The 22,834-nt window shown below is 44.2% G+C and overlaps 2 protein-coding genes across 5 annotated transcripts in view, besides 1 other annotated feature; one reads left to right on the forward strand and one right to left on the reverse strand.

Moving 5' to 3' along the window:
• The window catches only part of ZNF182 (zinc finger protein 182), a 29,139-nt gene extending 17,362 nt beyond the window's left edge, over window positions 1-11,777 (reverse strand). For 2 of the 3 annotated variants that reach the window (NM_001007088.2, NM_006962.2), the window contains exons 1-3: window positions 11,697-11,777; window positions 11,296-11,490; window positions 10,383-10,441 (exon numbers count right to left, since the gene is read on the reverse strand). In NM_001007088.2, the coding sequence (NP_001007089.1) occupies window positions 10,383-10,397 (15 nt within the window). In that variant the 5' untranslated portion in view covers window positions 10,398-10,441; window positions 11,296-11,490; window positions 11,697-11,777. Of the gene's footprint in view, window positions 1-10,382; window positions 10,442-11,295; window positions 11,491-11,691 lie in introns of all 3 variants that reach the window. The other variant, NM_001178099.2, reaches the window with a different exon arrangement.
• Window positions 11,393-11,702: an enhancer, noted in NCBI's record as "active region_29600". NCBI's record gives its function as "activates an Ori minimal core promoter by ATAC-STARR-seq in GM12878 lymphoblastoid cells {active_cell/tissue: GM12878}" and the evidence as "EXISTENCE:reporter gene assay evidence [ECO:0000049][PMID:35858748]".
• Window positions 12,124-17,521, forward strand: SPACA5 (sperm acrosome associated 5). 2 transcript variants are annotated; one of them, NM_205856.3, is made up of 5 exons: window positions 12,124-12,205; window positions 15,505-15,735; window positions 16,164-16,322; window positions 17,154-17,232; window positions 17,337-17,517. In NM_205856.3, the coding sequence occupies exons 2-5, from the start codon at window positions 15,591-15,593 to the stop codon at window positions 17,431-17,433; spliced, it is 480 nt and encodes a 159-aa protein (NP_995328.2). In that variant the 5' UTR covers window positions 12,124-12,205; window positions 15,505-15,590; the 3' UTR covers window positions 17,434-17,517. The 2 variants fall into 2 exon arrangements, with proteins under 2 accessions (NP_995328.2, NP_001381227.1); NM_001394298.1 differs by lacking the exon at window positions 12,124-12,205 and having other exon boundaries at window positions 14,776-15,735; window positions 17,337-17,521.
• The last annotated feature ends 5,313 nt before the right edge of the window (window positions 17,522-22,834 follow it).

Genomic DNA, 22,834 nt, shown 5'->3' on the forward strand with positions numbered 1-22,834 from the left:
TCCCCTGTGTAGTGAATTCCTGGAATTTTATGTTGCTTTAGCATCCACTTTGAATATAAGTTGGACTTTCTCAAACAAGAAGCAGGACTCAGTCACCTTTGACACAGTCTCCAGTCCTCCATCTCCTCCCTGTTCCTAAATGTGGTCGACTCAGATATCAGCCTTATATAACCACCTACTGGTGACCACCTCCCTAGGGGACAGCTAGACACAACCCACTTGACTCGCCCCTCTGATCCCCACACCCCACATGGACTGCACAGATATGCCACACTGACCACCTTCCAGTCACAGCGTGACTCCATGGAACTTGCACCTGCTTGCTCCAAACCCATCAGTTAAAACTCTCCATGAAAAGGCTTCACCCCACAGGTCTGTCCCCCCGTGCCCCTCTCTGTCCCCACTCGCTGGCTGAGCACATGTGTCATGGTCAGCTCTCTGTGTCCCGTTGGCCCTGTGAGGTGTGCTGCCCTCTTCCGTCTGGACCTGTGAGGAATGTGCTACCTCCGTGACTTTCTGTGTTCTGTTGAGTTGCCTCCTCTGTGTCTCACCTGCCCCACACACCCAAACCTAACTTCTCTCCCAGTCAGGGCTCTCCTAGAGAGTGGCTATCTTGGTAGGAATAAGCTTGACCCAGATCAGACAAGAGCCACAAGGGTGTCTGCCAGAATAAACAGGTTTCCTGGGAGAGGGACACCTGGTCATGGGTCAGACACAGGCACTAAGCTGCTCACCAGAATAAAGAAGAATTCTCTGAAAGGCACATTTGTAAACACCCACAACCACATTCCCTGGTGCCCCACCAGGATGGGGTTAGAATTTAAAGCCAAGCACATTATTAGAAGGTTAGAACTTTCAGGCCCACCCCCAGACCTCTAGGGAGGGAACAGGGGCTACAGACTGAGTTAATCACCAATGCCCAATGATTTAATCAATCATGCCCATGTTATGGAACTGCCATAGAAACCTCTCAATGGCAGGGTTAGGGAGCTTCTGGTTCAGTGAACACACTGTGTTGGGAGGGCGGCACACCCAGAGAGGGCACAGAAGGAAACCCTGTACCCTCCCATGCCTTGCTCTGTAGAACTCTTCCATTTGACTGTTCCTGAGTTGTATCCACCATAATAAACTAATAATCATAAGTGCTTTCCTGAGTTCTGTGAGTTGTTCTAACAAATTACTGAACCTGAAGGGTACATGAGAATCTCTGAATTTGTAGTCAACCAGGCAGAAACACAGGTAGCCTGGGCACCCCACTCGTGGCTGGCATCTGAAGTGGAGGTAGTCTTGTGGGAATGAGCCCTTAACTTGGAGGTTCTGCACTAATTCTAGTACCTATGTAGGAATTTGAGGAGGACACAATTCAGCCCAGTAACAATTTACAAAGATTTAAAGCAGCCAACACAAAAATGCTCCCATGATTACAAGTTCTTCTGAGATAAAAACAAAATCTCAGCAAAGAAACAGAAGTTATAAAACAGAGAACAAAATGGAGATTATAGAACCAAAAAATACAACAAGCAAATAAAAACTCACTGAATGAGATCAATAGTTTAGTGGTGATGACAAAGGACAGAATTAGTGAACCTGAGAAAAGATCAATAGAATTTACTCAATCTGAAAAACAAGAAAAAGAAAACTGAAAAAAAAAATGAACAGAATCTCAGGGATACATGGGACTATAACAGAAGATCCAAATTCATATCATTGCCATTCCAGAAGGAGATGAGGAGAAACAGAAGGTGGTAACAAGAGTATTTGAAGAAATAATACCTGAAAACTTCCCAAATTTGGCAAAAGACATAAACCTACAGATTCAAGAAGCTGACCAAATCCCTAATTCATGCCAAGCCATGGCAAAATTAAGCTTCTGAAAACTACAGAAACAGAAAAAATTTTGAAAGCAACCAGAGAAAAACAATGCATTACCTATAGGTAAAAAATCAAAACAAAAAATAAACAACAACAACAAAAAAACAATTTGAATGATAGCAGATTTCTCAACAAAAACCATGGAGGCTAGAAAAAAGTAGCATAATATTTTTCAGGTGCTAACAAAAAGGGACTGTCTACCACCAATTCTATATCTGGCAAAGTTATCCTTCAGGAATGAAGGGGAAATTAAGACATTTCAGGTGAAGGAAAACTGAAAGAATTTGTCTCTGGCAGACCTACTCTTAAGAAAATGCCTAAAGGAAGTTCTTCTAACACAAGGGAAGTGATAAAAGAATGAATCTCAAAGCACCAAGAAAGAACCAGGAACAACAGAGCGGAAAAATGACCAATTCGATATAAATACATAGGGAGGAGAAAGGGAATCAGAGGAAGGGGTGGAAAGAGAAAGAATGAGAGACAAACTTCCCTAGGGACATTTAGCAAACTGTGAAGATGAGTCCCCTTCTCTCCAGAGGGTGATTTAACCAATCATACTTTTTTGTGTGTGTAAGATGGAGTCTCGCTCTGTTGCCCAGGCTGGAATGCGGTGGTGTGATCTCTGCGCACTGCAACCTCCGCCTCCCAGGTTCAAGCGATTCTCCCACCTCAGCCTCCTGAGTAGCTGAGATTACAGGCACCTGCCACCACACCTAGCTAATTTTTGTATTCTTAGTAGAGACAGGGTTTCGCCATGTTGGCCAGGCTGGTCTTGAACTCCTGACCTCAGGTGATCCACCTGCCTCAGCCTCCCAAAGTGCTGGGATTACAGGCGTGAGCCACTGCACCTGGCCAACTGTGCCTTTTTATATTCACATTTTTTTTAGATTCCTGAGTAGTTTGTGTGCAACTGTTCCATCTGCAATGAGAAAGAGTTCCATTTCTTTTATAAGACCAGCAGAAGAGGCCGGGCGCGGTGGCTCACGCCTGTAATCCCAGCACTTTGGGAGGCTGAGGCGGGCAGATCACAAGGTCAAGAGATCGAGACCATCCTGGCCAACATGGTGAAACCCCATCTCTACTAAAAGTACAAAAAAATTAGCTGGGTGTGGTGGTGTGCACCTGTAGTCCCAGCTACTTGGGAGACTGAGGCAGAAGAATCGCTTGAACCCAGGAGGCAGAGGTTGCAGTGAGCTGAGATTGCACCACTGTACTCCAGCCTGGGCGACAGAGCGAGACGCTGTCTCAAAAATAAAAAAAAGAACCAAATGAAAATTTTGAAACTGAAAAAGATAATAACTGAAATAAATCCCCAATTGATGGACCCAACACAACAGAGATATCAGAGAAAAGAGCAAGTAAACTTCAAGGTAAACCAATAAAAATTACCTAATCCCAAAAATAGAAAAAACACTGCAGAAACATGAACAGATTCTGGGACCTCTGGGACAATACCAAAAGGTCCAAAATTCATGCCATCAGAGTTCCAGAAGGAGAGGAGAAAGAGGATAGTACAGAAAAATATCTGGAAGAAATAATTCCTGAACACTTCCCCAAATTTGGCAAAAGACAAAAATCTATATGTTCAAGAGGCTCAGCAAGTCCAAAACAGGATAACCCCAAAGAAATCCACACTCAGACACATTATCACCAAACTGCTGAAAACTAAGGACAAGTGAAAAACAACATATTATTTACAGGAGAACAACTATTTAAATGACTGTGGATTTCTCATGAGAAACCAGGGTGTGCAGAAGAAGTGGAACAGCATTGTGAAAGTTCCAAAAGAAAACAACAGTCCACTGAAAAATCTATATGCAGTAAAAATCTCCTTCAGAAATGAAGGTGAAAGAAGACATTCTCAAGGAAGGAAAACCAAGACTATGTTGCCAGCAGACTTGCTCTGAAACAACTGCCAAAGGCAGTTCTTCATAACAGGCAATTGATATCAGAAGGAAACTTAAGATTGTGAACAATGAAGGAAGAACATCAAAGTGGTAAAAATCTGGGTAAATAGAATAGATTATCCTTGAGTTCTTTAAAATACATTTGACAGTTGGAAGAGAAATAACATTTTCTGGTAGAAATTTCAATGTATGTGAAAGTAATATTAATACATAAGACAACAAAAACATAAAGGGGAGAGGGAAAAGGGACTTATAAGATGGTAAGGTTCACACACTCCATTTAAAGAGGTAAAATATTGATGCTAAGCATGTTGTGTAAACTTAAATATATATGGTAATTTGCAGGGCAACCACCAAAAAAAAAACTATGTAACTCTGTAAATAGATATAGTAAAAAACACAATAGACAAATAAAAATGTAATCTAAGAAAATGTTCAAATAACCCAAAAGAAGGCAGAAAATGAGAAACAAAGGAATAAAAAGGGAGAAAAACCAGAAAACAAATAATAAAGTGGTAAATACCTAAATCCAAGAGTATCAATAATTGCATTAAATGTCAATGGACTGAATGTACCAATTAAAAGGAAGAAGTTTTCAAAATGGATTAAAAAAATATTACCCAACTGTTATGGACTGAATTGTACTCCCACTCCACAAATTCATACATTGAAGCCCCAACCTGCAATGTGACTGTATTTAGAGACTGGGCCTTTATAAAGGCAATTAAGGTTAAATGAGGTCATAAGGGTGGGGCCCTAACCCAGCAGAACTGGTGTACATATAAGAGAAATGGACATCAGAGCTTGCTCTCTGTGTGTGTGAGCAGAGGAAAGGCCATGGGAGGGCACAGCAAGAAGGTGGCCATCTGCAAGCCAGAAAGAGTGCCCGAGGCTAAAACCAAATCAGTCAGTACCTTAATCTGGGACTTCCCAGCTTCTGGAACTGTGAGAAAATTAATTTATGTTGTTTAACCCACCCAATCTATGGTACTTTGTTATGGCAGCCCGAGCAGACTAATATACCCAGCTACATGCTGTCTAAAAGAATATACTGGCCGGGCACGGTGGCTCACACCTGTAATCCCAGCACTTTGGGAGGTCGAGGTAGGCGAATCACCTGAGCTCAGGAGTTCGAGACCAGCCTGGGAGACATGGCAAAACCCCATCTCTACAAAAAATTAGCCAGTCGTGGTGGTGTGTGCCTGTGGTCCCAGCTACTTGGGAGGTTGAGGTGGGAGGATCACTTAAACCCGGGAGGTCAAGGCTGCAGTGAGCTGAGATCATGCCACTGCACTCCAGCCTGGGTGAGAGAGGGAGATCCTGCTAAAAAAAAAAAAAAAACACAACATACTTCAAATATAATAATACAGGTGGGATAGAAGTAAGAATGGAAAAAAGTACACCATTGAAATACTAACCAAAGAAGACTGGAGTGACCATATTTAATAACAGCCAAAGTAGACTTCAGAGCCAAAACTCATCCAGGATAATGAATGACATAAGGATAAAAAAATTCACCGGCCAGGCACAGTGGCTCACACTTGTAATCCCAGCACTTTGGGAGGCCGAGGCGGGCAGATCACTTGAGGCCAGGAGTTCAAGACCAGCCTGGCCAACATGGCAAAACCCCGTCTCTACTAAAATACAAAAATTAGCTGGGCGTGGTGGTAGGCACATGTAACCCCAGCTACTTAGGAGGCTGAGGCAGGAGAATCACCTGAAACCGGGAGGGGGAGGTTGCTGTGAGCCAAGATTGCACCACTACGCTCCAGCCTGGGTGACAGAGCAAGACTCCATCTCAAAAAAAAGAATTAATTAATTCACCAAAAAGATACAACACTCCTAAAAGTGTATGCATCTAACAACAGAGCTTCAAAATATATGAAGGGAAACTGATGCAACTGACAGGAGAAACAGGCAAATCTGCAATAATAACTGTATACTCAATACTCTTTTCTCAGTAACTGATAGAACCAGTAGACAGAAAATCAGCAAGAATATAGAACTAAACACCATCAACCAACTGTATGCAATTGAGATATACAAAACACGCCACTATAAAACAACAGAATATACATTCTTTTCTTTTCTCTTTTTTTTTTTTTTTGAGACAGAGTCTCGCTCTGTTGCCCAGGCTAGAGTGCAATCAATGGCGTGATCTTGGCTCACTGCAACCTCCGCCTCCTGTGTTCAAGCAATTCTCCTGCCTCAGCCTCCCGAGTAGCTGGGACTACAGGCACGTGCCACCACACCTAGCTAATTTTTTATATACATTCTTTTCAAATGCACATGGAACATTCACCAAGAAAGGCCATATCATGAGTCGGAAACCCAAATTTAACAAGTGTAAAAGAACTGAAATCACGCAAAGGATAATGTGTTCTTAGAACATAATGAATTTGTTTATAGTAATAGATAACAGGAAAATCCCTAGGTACTTGAAAATTAAACATCATTCTTCTAAATAATATATTGGTCAAAGAGGAAGTCTCAAAGAAAATTAGAAAATACTTCAAACTGAACAAAAATGAAAATACAACATATGAAAATGTGTGGGATGCAGCTAAAGACGTGCTTAGAGGAGGCCGGGTGTGGTGGCTCACGCCTGTGATCCCAGCACTTTGGGAGGCCGAGGCGGGTGGGTCACCTGAGGTCAGTAGTTCAGGACCAGCCTGCCCAACATGGCAAAACTCTGTCTCTACTAAAAATACAAAAAAATTAGCTGGGCGTGGTGGCGGGCGCCTGTAATCCCAATTACTCGGGAGGCTGAGGCAGAAGAATTGCTTGAACCCAGGAGGCAGAGGTTGCAGTGAGCCGAGATCGCACCACTATACTCCTAAGTGACAGAGCGAGACTCCGTCTCAAAAAAAAAAAAAAAAAAAGAATCACCATATGATGCAGTAATATCACTCCTGGGTATACATCCAAAGGATCTGAAATTAGGATGTCAAGGAGATATCTACAATCCCATGTTTATTGCAGCATTATTTGCAACAGTCAAGTTATGGAATCAACCTCAGTTTCCATCAGTGGATGAACAGATAAAGAAAATGTGGCATATATACACAATGGAATATCATTCAGCCTTTAAAAAGAAGGAAATTCAGGCCGGGAGCGGTGGCTCATGCCTATAGTCCCAGCACTTAGGGAGGCCAAGGCAGGCAGATCACCTGAGGTCAGGAGTTCAAGACCAGTCTGGCCAACATGGTGAAACCCCGCCTCTACTAAAAATACAATAATTAGCCAGGCGTGGTGGCAGGTGCCTGTAATCCCAACTACTCAGCAGGCTGGGGCAGGAGAATCACTTGAACCTGGGAGGCGGAAGTTGCAATGAGCCAAGCAGCCTGGGTGACAAAGCAAGACTCCATCTCAAAAAAAAAAAAAAAAGAAGGAAATTCTGCCATTTGCAACAATGGATGAACCTGGGGGACATTATCCTAAGTAAAATAAGCCAGGTACAGAAAGATAAATACTGCCTGTGCTCACTCATATGTAGAAGCTTAAAAAATTCTTCTCATACAAGTAGAGTTGTTCTCATAGAAGACCAGTGGTTACTAGAGGCAGGGAAGGGTTGCGGGGTGGGTAGCCAAAGGTTGGTTAACAGATACAGAAGTACAGCTGGATAGGAGGAATAAGTTCTAGCATTCAACAACACTGTAGGGTGACCATAATTAACAACAATTTAGTGCATATTTTCAAATAGCTAGAAATTTTTGAATGTTCTCAATACTAAGAAATAAATGTTTGAGATGGATATGCTAATTATCTTGATTGGATCATTACACATTGTAGACATTTACCAAAACATCCCAGTATACCCCATAAATATGTATAATTATTATGTGTCAATTTAAAATAATAAGGCTGGGCACAGTGGCTCACGCCTGTAATCCCAGCACTTTGGGAGGCTGAGGCAGGCAGATCATCTGAGGTCAGCAGTTCGAGACCAGCCTGCCCAACATGGTGAAACCCCGTCTCTACTAAAAATACAAAAATTAGCCAGGTGTGGTGGCACATGCCTGTAGTCCCAGCTACTCAGGAGGCTAAGGCAGGGGAATTGCTTGAACCTGAGAGCCGGAGGTTGCAGTGAGCTGAGATCGCACCACTGCACTCCAGCCTGGGCAATAGAGCAAGACTCCATCTCAAAAAAAAATTAAAACATTAAATAATAAAATAATAAAGCAAAAAAAAATTCTCAACAATTGGGGTTAGAACAATTGGAAATCCGTATGCAAAATGATGAAACCTGACCTAATCCTCATACCTTATACAAAAATTAATGCAAAAGAGCCGGGCGCGGTGGCTCATGCCTGTAATCCCACCACTTTGGGAGGCCGAGGTGGGCGGATCACCTGAGGTCAGGAGTTCAAGACCAGCCTGGCCAACATGGTGAAACCCTGTCTCTACTAAGAATATAAAAATTAGCCAGGTGTAGTGGCACATGCCTGTAGTCCCAGCTACTCGGGAGGCTGAGGCACGAGAATCACTTGAACCCAGGAGGTGGAGGTTGCAGTGAGCCAAGATGGCGCCACTGCACTCTAGCCTGGGGAACAGAGTGAGACTCCATCTCAAAAAAAAAAAATTAATGCAAAAGGAATCATCTATCTAAATGTAAAATCTAAAACTATAAAATTATACAATAGGAGAAAATCTTCATGACCTAGTGTTAGGCAAAGTTCTTAGACATGACACCAAGGGCATGATCCATAAATAAATGATTCATAAATTGGAAATTTTCCAAATTAAAAATTCTTGCTCTGCAAACAACAATGTTATGAGAGGAAAAGGACAAGCAATACACTTGGAGAAAACATTTACAAACCATGTATCTGACAAAGGACCTGTGTAAAGGATATATAAAGAACTCTTAAAACTCAACAGCAAGAAAATCCAATTGAAAAATGGGCGGAAACTTTTGAACAGACATTCATCAAGAGGATAGACCAAAAATAAATAAGCATATATAAAGATGCTTAACATCTTTAACCATTAAGGAAATGCAAATTAAAATCATTATGAGATAAATGACTACATAAAAAATACTGACAATACCAAGTACTGACAAAAATATGGAACAATTGGAACTCATACATTGCTAGGAGAAATGAAAAATGGTTCAACCACTCTAGAAAATAATTTGGCAGATTCCTAAAAAGTTAAACATACACTTACCATATGACCTAGTAATCCAATATTTACTCCACAGAAATGAAAACCTATGTTCACACAAAACCCTGTGCATGATTGTTTAAAGTAGCTCTACTCATAATTGCCAAAAACTGGAAATAACGCAAATGTCTTTCAACAGGTGAATGGATAAATACACTGTGGTACATTTATACCATGGACTACTATTCAGCAATAACAAAGAAACAACTACTGACACACACAACTTTGATGAATCTCCAGGGAATTGTGCTGAGTGGAAACAAACAAACAAATCCCAAAAGGTCACATACCATACGATCCATTTCTATTACATTCCTGAAATGACAAAATTCCCAAAACAGAAAACAGATTTGTAGCTGCCAAGAGTTTAGGAATGGGTATGGGGGAGGAAGGGCAGTGGCTGTGGCTATAAGGGACAATTTGAGGGATCCTTGCGATGATGGGGCTTGATCATATCAATGTCAACATCCTGACTTTGATATTGTACTATGGTTTTTGCAGGATGTTATCATTGGGGGAACCTAGGAAAAGAGTACACAGGATTTCTCTGTATTATTCTTTCAATTGCATGTAAATCAATCATCTCAGAAAGAAAAGGTTACATAATACATGACACCTCACTTATATGACATTCTTGAAAAGACAAAACTACAGTGACACAGAACAGACCTACCGCTGCCTGAGGTTACAGGTTGGGGAAGACATGACTATTAACAGAGTAGCATGAAGGAGTTTTTTTGGGGTGATGAAACTATTATCTATCCTATAGATTAGTTACACCAATCTAACAAAAATCAATTTCACTGTATGTTAATTTAAAAAATAAAAATGTTTAAAGTGAAAGAAAAAATATGGTGGGCTGCAGGTATCTGAAAAAATTTTGTCTCTTGGACAAAAGATAATTCAAAGTCCGACTAAGAAATTGCTTCAGGAAAATCATTGGAAAGACAAGCAGGTTCCCTAAGAGATTTCATTCCCAAGTTACATTTTGACATGATGTCTCCAGCTCACTGAGGAAAGCTGTAGCACATATCTGCAGGAAAGCATTTGTCACCAGGCTGTGGTTGAGGGCAACTGCACTATCCACATGAAGACCCAGCAAAGAAATACCTTTAAACACAATTCCAGGCAACCTTGACTTCCCATGAAGGCTGTGTGCTCTCTCCTGATGAGTAAGGTGAGCCAAGGTACTGGTTATGTTTCCCTTTGGCTACCAGAAGGCTCAAAGAGAAACTGACAGCCCAACATCAATATCTGTTACACCCTGAGTCCTGCACACCTCTACATTCTAATTTGGCCTTGATCTGTTGTCTCTTATTTTGCCTGATCCAATCCTTATTTACAAATACTTTCCTATTTTATGGCAGGGATTTCCACATATTTCGTCACATCCACAGTAAAATAGAGGAATGAAGAAACAGACAACATACTTACCTGGGGTTTGGCCATTTCCTGCTCTTCTTGGGAAAAAGCAGAGATGTGTGACGGCCGAGCTGGAACAAGTGGAGAAGAGTACAGCAGATGAGGAGACCCCATCAGACTTTCAGTGCCCAGAATTAGCTGCCTAGCAATCCCCTCACATCAGCTGGCCATCAGACTGCTCTCTGGAAGAGTCTGGGCAACCATGTGATTTTAACAATCTGTGTATTATTCACTCTTCATGTGAACATTGAACACAAAAGGTTTTATATACACATATATTAAATTGTGTACTGACCCATAAAGTGTATTTGTAGGTATTTTCCTTAAGGAAATAATTTATCATAATGTATCATAATTTCTCTGCACGTACCCACGTCTCAGCATTGATTTCAATAATGCCAAACTTAAACGATCCTCTATGACCCATAAGGGATTAATAATAACAAAATATAAAAGATAAAATGCTACAAAGCTGTTAAAAGCGTTATATGGAACTGTACAGTATCTATGCACTTTGTGGTATATGTATCTCAACTAAACGTTTTTAAAAGGTGTACAAAAAAATCCTAAGGTGAATTACAAAGTAGGTTTTAAAACTGCGGGAATCCATTTTAAAGTTATATGTTAAATGTTTAAAAGGCATACCCCTATACACACCAAAAATGTCTAAAAACGGACATTTAAATGTGTGGGGGAAGAATTAGTTCCTGTTGATTTTCTTTTTCTCTATTTCAGAATTAATCTATATATTCAAATGTTATTTATTAAATGCCAAAAAAAACTACACTCTAAAACTATTATCCCAATTACATTTTACCCCCATCTCCCTCAGACCCCGCACCTACCCCTCCTCCCACGCCCCCAACTTGGGCGAGGCCCGGGGTCAGGTGAGACCTCGCAGGTGCCTCTCCTTCCTTCTGCTCACCTCACCGGGGCCGCCTTGCCCAGAAGCCGGAAAGAGGCCTTCGGGTGCGGGGGTGCAGGTTCACTTCGGCCGGAGCATTCACACCAGGCCCCCACCTCGGGGCTTGGGCAAGGGGAGAGGGCAGAGGGAGAAGCGGGGCGCGTCTAAAGAGGGGTCTGAGGGATGCGCATGAACCTTTAGGGGCAGGTCACTGTGCTGGAAAACGTGTAAAAGTCAAAGTTTAATAAGCCCCATTTAATCCTGCTTAGCCCCCATAACTTTGTTCACCAGTGAGCCCCTAGAACCTCGTCCACTGACCTCTCGGTCCCCCATCACTCAACCCCCAACTCCCACTTCACTCATCCCACAGAACTCCCCATCACTCAGCCCACGACCCCTAGCACTTGCCCCCTCAACCTCACTCTCTCTCGATAACAGATTTTCTGCTCGCTGCTCAGGAGACCGTTACAAAGCCTGGCCCCAACAAGCACTTCCGCTTCGGGACCGACTCTTTGGCACCGCAGCCTAAAGGGCTGCAGGGGTCGGTTCTGCGCACGCTCAGTGGCGCCTTTGAGACCCCGTCCGCCAATAGTCAACATGGGGCCGCAGCGCAGGCGCAGAGGGAAGGTAGCCTTGCCGGTGACGTCACTGCTCCAGGCCAGATGGCCGTGCCCACCGTGTCCTTTTGCTGCTGGGGCTGCGTCGCAAAGCGGTTGTTTACTTAGTTATGCAGAGGCAGGCACTCCTAAGACTTCAGACACCAATTTTCTTACGGCAGGGCGGGGAGGGGAAGTGCCCAACTAAGGAAAAGATTCTAGCAGGCGGCAATTTCGCACTTTGAACTTGGAGGGCAGCAACAGGGTTGCAGGTGTAAAATAACGGGAAGGCGGGATGCGTGGCTAAATTGCTCTGCGTGCACAAAGAGTAGGAGGTAGGGAAAAGCCACTGGCTTCATCCAGTGGCCAGGACTGGGAGTTTACGTTGTAGCGTTTGAAGGACGGTGGGTCGGTATGCAGACAAACAAGCTGAAAAATAAACGGCGATGTGGGACACACACACCGGGGGTGAAGGGGTATATTAAGTGGTGGCTAACAGGTTGCTTTTTCTGGATGAGTAGACAGTGTCAGTGTGTTGGGAGTGTAGGGGGTGTAGGCTGGGGCCAGGTGCTGTAGGGCCTCCTTGGCCAGGGAGCTCATATTTCATTCTGGACATATGGGAAACCATAAGAAGGATCCGATCTGTAAAGACCAGTCTGAAGCAATCTAGCATTATATAGTAACGTTAAAAATACACATATATTGGGCTGGGTACGGTGGCGTGCGCCTGTAATCTCAGCACTTTGGGACGCCAAGGTAGGCGGATCACCTGAGGTCAGGAGTTCAAGACCAGCCTGGCCAACATGGTGAAACCCCGTCTCTACTAAAAACACCAAAAATTAGCCGGGCTTGGTAGCACGCCTGTGATCCCAGCTACTCTGGAGGCTGAGGCAGGAGAATCGCTTGAACCCGGGAGGCAGAGGTTGCAGTGAGCCAAGATCACACCACTGCACTCCAGCCTGGGCAACACAGTGAGACTCCATCTCAAAAACAAAAAACAAACAAACAACAACAACAACAAAAGGAATGGAGCTTCCCAGTAGACAAGACAAAGAAAGAAAGAAAGTAAAAAAGGAACTCACATCTGTTGCTCCCTGACACATCAGCACCTCCTGGGTATACAATTTATCCACTCTCTCAATGCATTAGGAGGTAGAAAATAGAAAGGGCTGGTCCTTTAGGGCCCATCAAGTGTCGCCCCTTCTAGCACCTAAACGTCATCTCCAACCACCTTGTACACACACACCTACACAAAGGAGGAAATCTTTTAGGGTTGGTGGGAGTTGGGGGGCAGAGGAGCCAGTGATACAGCCCCTCAGAAACTATCTGAGGGCCCACAGTGTGCATGCACAAGCTATGTGAGGCTAACTTTGCTGCTGCAGAGCGAGGACTCCCACTCTCTGTCCTGGGTATCCTCTACCGTCATTCCCTACAGGTGTGACCTCCTCATACAGTAACCTAAGCAGCAGGTGGCTAGGTGAAGGAGAGTGAGAAGCTGACAGGTGGCTGGTCCCACCACAGAGTCTGCATGATATGACATTCCCACCCAAAGACAATGAGAGAAGCCCCCACGTGGCTGGCGAGTCATCATTACAATTGCTCTTATGATACATTTTATCAAGACCACAAAAGCCTTGCCAATTGTGAGCGGTCATTTTGGACCAGAAGCAGCAGGTGAGGCTGACAGAGCAACAGCACAGAAGGAGCCAGGTCTCTGGTGACCTTGGAGCTACCACACTAGCCCTGGATTACCTGCCTCCAAAAGAGGAATCTGCTTCCCTCCTCTTGAAGCCACTGGTGTTTGTGGTGGGGTTGGTGCGTGCAGCCAGATCAAATCCTGAGCAATCCATCAGATGCTTCTGTGTTGGCCAATGTGAGTGTCAGTGAACAGGAGATACATGGGACTGGTGGGTGAGGGGCATGAATAATGGTGACTGAAGGGCAAATTGGGAGTAAATGAGAGCAAGGAGAGGCAAAGGGCAATGGAATGGAGGTGAATGAACACCAGAGTGGAGTGGATGTGGGCCAAAGTGAGGGAATGACTATGCATGCATTCAATTATGAATGAATTTGAGATTATGATGAGATTAAGTAAATGATGGGAAATGAGGCACAGTCTCAGCGGAAAAAAGGTGAAAGTGGGAGCAGACTCTGAATGAATGGGGCAACTGAAGGGGGTGAATGTGAGTGGAGTTTATGTGAGTACTGAGGATTAGAGTGTGAATGAATGGTGGTTTTATGAGGCACAAGATGAATGAAGAGAGGGGAATTTAGGGAGACAGTAGGAGTGAATGGGGGTAATGTGGGATGGAAAGGGAAGAATGGGGTGCGGGAGGGACAGAATAAAAGAGTGGAGATGGATACATGGTAGAATGTGAAGCAGGCCGAGTTTGAGTGTGGGTGCTACGAGGGAGAAGGATGACTAGAGATGACTGGGATTACATGGGCGTTATACAGGGTAGTAGCCCAGGAACGTGGGTGCACAGGGATCCCAGTGGGAATCGGCAAATGTGAATGAGCTGAAGAGTGCACATGAATGGAGGTGATGTTGGGCAGAGTGAGAGGGAATGAAAGTGAAGAGCAGAGGATGGGTGAACGTGGGTATTGTGAGGCAGAGAGTGGATGAAGGCTTCATGGCCTCGGGTGAGTAAAGCGAGGAAACATGGGGAGCCCGATGTGAGCAAAAGTAACGAATTTGAGGCACAGCGTGACAGAATGCGGGTACTGGGAGGCAGAATGGCAGCCATGAATCAGGAGCAGAATATGAGCAAGAAGAGGGTGATAGGGGTTACAGTGGGAATAGATTTAAAGGAATGAGGCAGTGAGAGGCAGAGTAAGAGTAAATGGAAACAATGAAGAGAAAACTGAGAAAGAACAGTGACTGGAGTGCAGTGGTGCGATCTTGGCTCACTTAGCGTAGGCTAAGTGTATGTGGGTAACTTCAGCTAGTGTTTGGGAGTAATAGGGACAGAGCTCCAGGAAATGGGGGTGTTCCTGGGACAGCATCTGAGAGAATAGAGGTGAAGGAGGGGCAGAGGGGGAGTGAAGGGGGGAAATAATGAGGCCCCGGGTCAATGAAAGAAGCTGAAGGCTGGGCCACGTGCGAGTAAGCCAGAGTCATTTGATGCAGGGGCGGGAAATAGAGGCAAAGATAGGAAATGAGTCTGAGTGAGAGTGAGTGGGGTGAAGAAGGAATATGACATGAAAGAATTTGGGTAATGCTAAGTAGACTGTGAGGAATTGCGATAATATGAGGCCCAGTATGGGTGAATATAAGTGGCTGAAAGGCAGTGTAAGTGAATGGAGGAACAAAAGGCAGAATGAGAATGAAGTTGAAAAAGCAGTCAAGCATAAGAATGTATATGTAATATGCCATTTGTAATATGAAATGTGGGGCACATTCCAGTAAATTAGGATGGAACAGCACTTTAAGTGCAGAGAGGTGAACAAGGTACCAAGGATGAGTGCTATGGTTTGAATGTGTGCCTTCCAAAATTCAGATGTCAGAAACTTAATCCCCAATGCAACAGTGTTGGGAGGTGGGGCCTTTAATCCCCAATGCAACAGTGTTGGGCGATGTTGAGGCTTCTGTGTTGCGCGTTCCAGAATCTACCACTTAGACCTTTGCTCATAGAGCCCAGAGTTCCAGAATGCCCCTAATTCCGAACACCACAGGGTGAGTCTGGAGCAAGTCACCTGGGAGGGCTTACAGGTGCCATAATGAAGGCCTGGGGCACTGTGGTAGTGACCTTGGCCACGCTGATGGTTGTCACTGTGGATGCCAAGATCTATGAACGCTGCGAGCTGGCGGCAAGACTGGAGAGAGCAGGGCTGAACGGCTACAAGGGCTACGGCGTTGGAGACTGTGAGAATCCAGTTGCCCCAAATCCCATCCAAACCCTGAGCCACCCGCCACATTCAGACCCAGGCCCCTTCTTGTCCTTTATCACCTCTCCAGGCCTGGGCATGATCCCTTGAGTCACTCCCTGACTGACTATGCTGAGTAGTTTAACTAACTCTAACACCACCACCATTATTGCCTTCACAACCATCACCTCCATCTCTGCCATCAACACCATCACTACAATCAATATCATCACCACTGTTACCATCATGAATACCATCGCTACCACCATCACTGATGTCTCACCAGAATCACCAACATCACCACCACTAAACCAAGATCACCACCCTCACAACTGAGATGACAACCATCCCTGTCCTCCCCCCATCCTATCCTTCCCTATTCCCAAGCTCTATACCTACTCCCTGCCTCCCTTCTCCCTGCCCCAGGGCTGTGCATGGCTCATTATGAGAGTGGCTTTGACACCGCCTTCGTGGACCACAATCCTGATGGCAGCAGTGAATATGGCATTTTCCAACTGAATTCTGCCTGGTGGTGTGACAATGGCATTACACCCACCAAGAACCTCTGCCACATGGATTGTCATGGTAAGTCAGCACTGGGGGACCCACTGAAGCCCTGCTGGGCCCTACTCTCCCACACATGGAGGGCAAGGTTGTTTAAGCCATAATCTCCTGCAACAAGAGAAAAATGATGGGAAAAGGAGAAAAGTTGCCTGAGCTATTAAAGACACCATCCTCTACCCCTACCCAGACTATCCTGAGAGGTTGTTTAGGACAGAAGAGCTCAGAGCTCCCAATCCTCACCCAGAATGGACACTGCAGTTTTCTTAGACTCAGGAAACAGGAAACTTACCTCCATGTGGAACAGAGTTAGAAACTGTCCTGATTTGGGGTTGAGGTTACCCAGGCCCCGAGGAAAGAAGCAGAGTGTCTGGTTCTAGAAACAGAAACAGATAACCTCCATGCAGAAATGACAGAACTTTCCAGATAAGACTGGTGGTGTTGAGGACAAAATAGAATAGCCGTTAAAGTTGTTCAGTGTTGGCCAAAATGGTGGTTGAGGTTGTCCAAGACAGGAAAAAATGGAGACTGAGGTTATTTGGGGCCAGCCCAAATGGAGGTTGAGGTTGTCCAGGACCAGACAGTATGGAGGTTGGGGTTATTCATAACTAGCCAACATGACAATCTAGATCATCCAGGATCAGTCAACATGAGTTAAGGTTGTACAGAACCAGCTAACATGGTGATTAAGATCATTCATAACCAACTGACAAGAGAATCAAGGTCATCAAGAATCAGTCAACATAGTGGTTGAGGTTCTTCAGGCCCCAAGGAACCCAAAACCCTTGGGCCCTCCATTCACTGTTATCCTATCCCCAGTGCACCAGACCACCATGTCCCTCTCTTCCCCCTCAGACCTGCTCAATCGCCATATTCTGGATGACATCAGGTGTGCCAAGCAGATTGTGTCCTCACAGAATGGGCTTTCTGCCTGGTAAGTTCATGGGGATGGCCCAGGCCATGGGCAGCCAGGGATAGTGTCACTGCCACCCCATCAACCTGTCCACTTCATCCTCTCTCCTTTCCTTCATTTCCCAGGACTTCTTGGAGGCTACACTGTTCTGGCCATGATTTATCTGAATGGCTCAAGGGGTGTGATATGCATGTGAAAATTGATCCAAAAATTCATCCATGACTCAGATTCGAAGAGACAGATTTTATCTTCCTTTCATTTCTTTCTCTTGTGCATTTAATAAAGGATGGTATCTATAAACAATGCAAAAGATGCTCTGATGTCTGACTCTCTTCATTTATTCAATGCCTGGAGGTACCCTCATTCCGTCACTTCCTCCATGTATTCAAAGCTCTAATTAAGAAATACCAGATCACTCAGAGTGGGGAAGGAAGGGAGGATAGTGTTGTGAATCAAGAGCATGTTGTTCTCCTGGGTTCAGAAGCCATCTCTACCACCTACTAGCTGTGTTGCCTTGGAAGAGATACTTAAATTCTCTGAGCCTCAGTTTCCTCATCTGTTAAATAAGGATGATAATAGTAACTACTTGATGGGGTTATTGGGAGGATTAAATGAATTAATATTTGTAAAACGCATAAAGTGCTTGGTACATAAGACAGTTGTAGGTTTGGAGATAGAGGAGTGGGATGGGAGAGATGAAAATTGGCTTCCCTTAAAAAGAATCACTCTCGGTGGGGTGCAGTGGCTCATGCCTGTAATCCCAGCACTTTTGGGAGGCCAAGCCAGGTGGATCATGAGGTCAGGAGTTCGAGACCAGCCTGGCCAATATGGTGAAACCCCATCTCTACTAAAAATACAAAAAAAAATTTAGCCGGGTGTGGTGACATGCACCTGTAGTCCCAGCTACTCAGGAGGCTGAGGCAGAAGAATCGCTTGAACCCAGGAGGCGGAGGTTGCAGTGAGCCGAGATCGCACCACTGCACTCCAGCCAGGGTAACAGAGCGAGACTCCGTCTCAAAAAAAAAAAAGGGTCTTTATTTAAGGCAGATACAGTCTCTTCAGGGGAGAATGAATCTAATAGGATTGTGCTTACACAGGAAGCTCAGTGGGAATCAGGAGTTAAAGGTACGTTTCCCCACATCCTCCCACATAACACCATTCTTCCAGCCCCCAGCCCCTCTTTCATGATCAAAGTCTGAAGTTTAAAATGACAGAGCGGGAATGTAGGCAAAACATTCAATGGACACACGTGGTAATAATTTCTTCTTACAGAGTGCCTGAGTGTCACTTTGTGTCTTGAGCAGAGAATTTAGGAATTTCAATTTGCCATTCTTTGCAATGGCCAGCACCTTTGGAAGCAGCCACTCCCATAAGGAAGCAGTCCCTCATGTTCTTTGTACTCTTTGATTGGGGTGGATACTCAAGCACCTGAGACCTTGAAGTGTTCACTTCAACCAGGATAATCACAGATGAGCATGAAAACAGCTAGCTGCCACTGCATGCCAAGGAATGCCGGAGCCCCCTTCCTTAATGCCAACTGGATTTCCCCCGCCTTGCACCCCAACCAGCCTAGGTAATCAAATCTCACATCTCCCTGTGGGTCCATAAAGAGTGCCAACACTTTGGGTACTGATTTCTTGTTTTTTCTTATTTTCTTTCCTTCTTTCCTTTCTTTTTTCTTTTCTTTTTCTTTCTTTTTTTTTTTTTTTGAAATGGAGTCTCGCTCTGTTACCCAGGCTGGAGTGCGGTGGCTCACTGTAACCTCTGCCTCCCGGGTTTAAGCGATTCTCCTGCCTCAGCTTCCCGAGTAGCTGGGATTACAGGCGCCCACTACCACGCCTGGGTAATTTTTGTATTTTTAGTAAAGACGGGGTTTCACCATGTTGGGCAGGCTGGTCTTGAACTCCTGACCTCAGGTGATCCACCCGCCTCAGTCTCCCAAAGTGCTGGGATTACAGGCGTGAGCCACCACACCCGGCCTAAAGTATATTTTTAATTGTTGTTTTTTAATGGCTATCTTTAAATCTGTAACTTCCTATAATTTGATAAACCCTTTTGTTCTTGTATGGCACTTATTCTCCATTATGACAAAACAGCGATTTTTAATAATAGTAGATTTTATTAATTTTTCTATGAGAGTTTGGTATTAAATCTGGAGACATTTTTCCTGAGTATCATTTCCAAGGACTATGCTTATTTAATTAATTAAATTGGGTTTCCTTTAATACCTGCATCTAGATTTATGGTGAGGTTTGGCTTCCAACTGACAGCCCTCATACCTTCAAGGCCACAAAAGGTGCCTCTTTAGCTGGTCATCAGCTTGCCAGGCTTCTAGAAAGAATAATAATAATCCACACTCTAGCCTGTGAATACAGCTTTGTCAGAAGTAGGTCTCTGGTGGGACTGACTTTTCTTTCAAGCCTATATACCAGTCAGAAAGAAATTCCAAGTACATTTCTTTCCTACACCCTGAGCTTGAGAAAACAAACAAACAAACAAACAAACCCAAGTTGCTCTAATAGAAATTGGAATGGGAAAGTGATGATAAATATAAGTGAATTTGATTGTTTAAGAAAAATACTTTAAAAGTGGGGAGAGGCTGGGCACGGTGGCTCATGCCTCTAATCCAAGCACTTTGGGAGGCCAAGGCGGGTGGATCACTTGAAGTCAGGAGTTCGAGACCAGCCTGGCCAACATGACAAAAACCCATCTCTACTAATAACTCACACACACACACAAATAGCCATGCGTGGTGGCACACACCTGTAATCCCAGCTACTCAGGAGGCTGAGGCATGAGAATCACTTTAACCCAAGAGGCGGAGGTTGCAGTGATCCAAGATTATGCCACTACACTCCAGCTTGGGCGACAGAGTGAAATTGTGTCTCAAAAATACATAAATAAATAAAAATAAAATAGGGGAGAGAAGGTAAAAATAGGTTTAGGGAGCCATGAACAGGGGAAAGGGAGATTAGAAGGGTAGCAGATCCACGATTTGTGGGGAGAAGGACTCAAATAGAACGCAAATAGCCTTTTAGGAAAGCTGGAAACAAATGAGGTGACCAAGAGAATAAGCAGAAGGACGAGGCCAGATTGTGGTGAGGCTAGCTCTTCACCATCTCACTCCAACATTACTGTGAGAGAATAGCTCACAAAACTAACAATTTACAGTTAGCAACAGAAGTTCATATCCTTTAAGAAGACATTTCTGGCCGGGCGCAGTGGCTCACGCCTGTAATCCCAGCACTTTGGGAGGCCGAGGTGGGCGGATCATGAGGTCAGGACATCGAGACCATCCTGGCTAACATGTTGAAACCCCGTCTCTACTAAAAATACAAAAAACTAGCCGGGCATGGTGGCGGGCACCTGTAGTCCCAGCTACTCGGGAGGCTGAGGCAGGAGAACGGCGTGAACCCGGGAGGCGGAGCTTACAGTGAGCTGAGATCCCGCCACTGCACTCCAGCCTGGGGCGACAGAGTGAGGCTCCGTCTCAAAAAAAAAAAAAAAAAAAGAAGATATTTCTGAGCTTTCAAAGATGTCCAGCCCTCACTGACCCACTGCAGTATCCTTCTCATGACTTCCCATCTGCTTGCTTGCTTGCTTGCTTGCTTCCTTTCTTTCTTTCTTTCTTTCTTTCTTTCTGACAAGGTCTCACTCTGTCACCTAGGCTGGAGTGCAGAGGTGCGATCTCGGCTCACTGCAACCTCCGCCTCCCGGGTTCAAGCGATTCTTGTGCCTCACCCTCCCAAGAAGCTGGGACTACAGGCATGGCCACCATACCCAGCTAATGTTTGCATTTTTAGTAGAGAAGGGGTTTCACCATGTTGGCCTAGCTGGTCTCAAACTCCTGACTTCAAATGATTCACACGCCTTGGCTTTCCGAAGTGCTGGGATTACAGGCGTGAGCCACTGTGCCTGGCCTGCTCATTTCTTTCTTAGCTGTACAACTCAAACTTGGGACTTCTCTCTCTGTGATCCAAAGTCCTCCTTCCTCCAAAGAGGCAATCACATCTGGTTTGGTCACGGGATACCCTGTAACGGAAAATGATACAAGACTTGGGCACGTCTGTGTGGGCTTTGGGACCTCAAAAAGTTAGGAAGGCACATATTCATGAGGCTAAATTTCACATAGGAGATGAAAATAGAAACACCTTGTTCAGTCTAGGAGGGATTAAGCATCTTTAATCCCTAGAACCTGAGGTCAAAATATTGAAGCACTTCAGAGATGGAAAGTTATTCTACTGGATATACCATGAATTACTCAGAGAAGCCATCCTCACCCACAGAGACCAGAAGGCTGTAGTTCTGTAGTATCACATCTCTATATCTCTCTATATTTCTCTAGAATCACAAGGTCCTCTGAGGAGGATCCAGTCAATTCCACCACTCCTGGGTGAAATCCGCAAGACACATCATCAAATGACACGATCCCTGTAACGGAATGCTTCTATTCAATTGGTTGGATAAAAATTAAAATGATAATACTTTTTAAAATAAAGAAAATATTCTTCAGAGAGAAGCTACTCTTTAACCATTTCAAAAAGGGCTTTTCTGAGATATTCGCAATACCTATATATAGCAAAGGACTTTTATACTACAGAAACTATAAAGAACTCCTACAAACAATAAGATAAATATAGATAGATAATCCAGTAGAAAAAACAGAAAAAAAGATTTGAACAGGTAATTCACAAAAGAGGATATCCAAATGGCCAATAAATGTATGAAAAGGTGCTCACCATCATTAGTCATCAGAGAAAGGCAAACTTAAACCACAGTGAGATACCACTATATGCCAACAGAAAACTGAAATTAAGACCAACAACCTTCAGCTTTCCTGAAAGGCTCTTTGAATTCTTTTTTTTTTTTTTTTTTTTTTTTTGAGATGGAGTTTTGCTCCCATCACGCAGGTTGGAGTGCAGTGGCACGATCTCGGCTCACTGCAACCTCCGCCTTCCAGTTTCAAGAGATTCTCCTGCCTCAGCCTCCGAAGTAGCTGGCATTACAGGCGCCCGACACCACGCCCGGCTAATTTTTGTATTTTTAGTAGAGTCAGAGTTTCACCATGTTGGTCAGGCTGGTCTCAAACTCCTGACCTGGTGATCCACCCGCCTCGGCCTCCCAAAGTACTGGGATTACAGGCGTGAGCCACCCCACCAGGCCCAGCTATTTGCATTCTATTTGAGTCTTTCTCCCCCTAAATCCTGGATCTGCTACCCTTCCAATTTCCTTCCAAGTGTTGGCCGGATGTAGAGCAACTGAAGCTCTCATACATTGTTGGTGGAAGTAAAATGGTGTAGGCACTTAACAGATTGGTAGAATCTACTAAAGCTGAACATCTAAATTAACATCTAAGTTAGTTTATCTAATTTATCTCATCTGCAAGAGGTAGATGATACACCTAACCTAGGATCCAGCAACTCCACTCTTAGGTATATATCCAATGGAAATGCACACATATGTTCACCAACACATGCACAAGAATACTCATAGAAGCATTATTTGTAATAGCTAAAATGGAATATCCACCAGCAGGGGAATGGATTAACAAGTGTGTTATATTTATACAAAAGGAATAGTGAATAGTATGGAAAAAGAACAAACTACTGACACATAAGGTAAC

The sequence above is a fragment of the Homo sapiens genome, chromosome X (assembly GCF_000001405.40).
Source record: "Homo sapiens chromosome X, GRCh38.p14 Primary Assembly".
Taxonomy (NCBI): domain Eukaryota; kingdom Metazoa; phylum Chordata; class Mammalia; order Primates; family Hominidae; genus Homo; species Homo sapiens.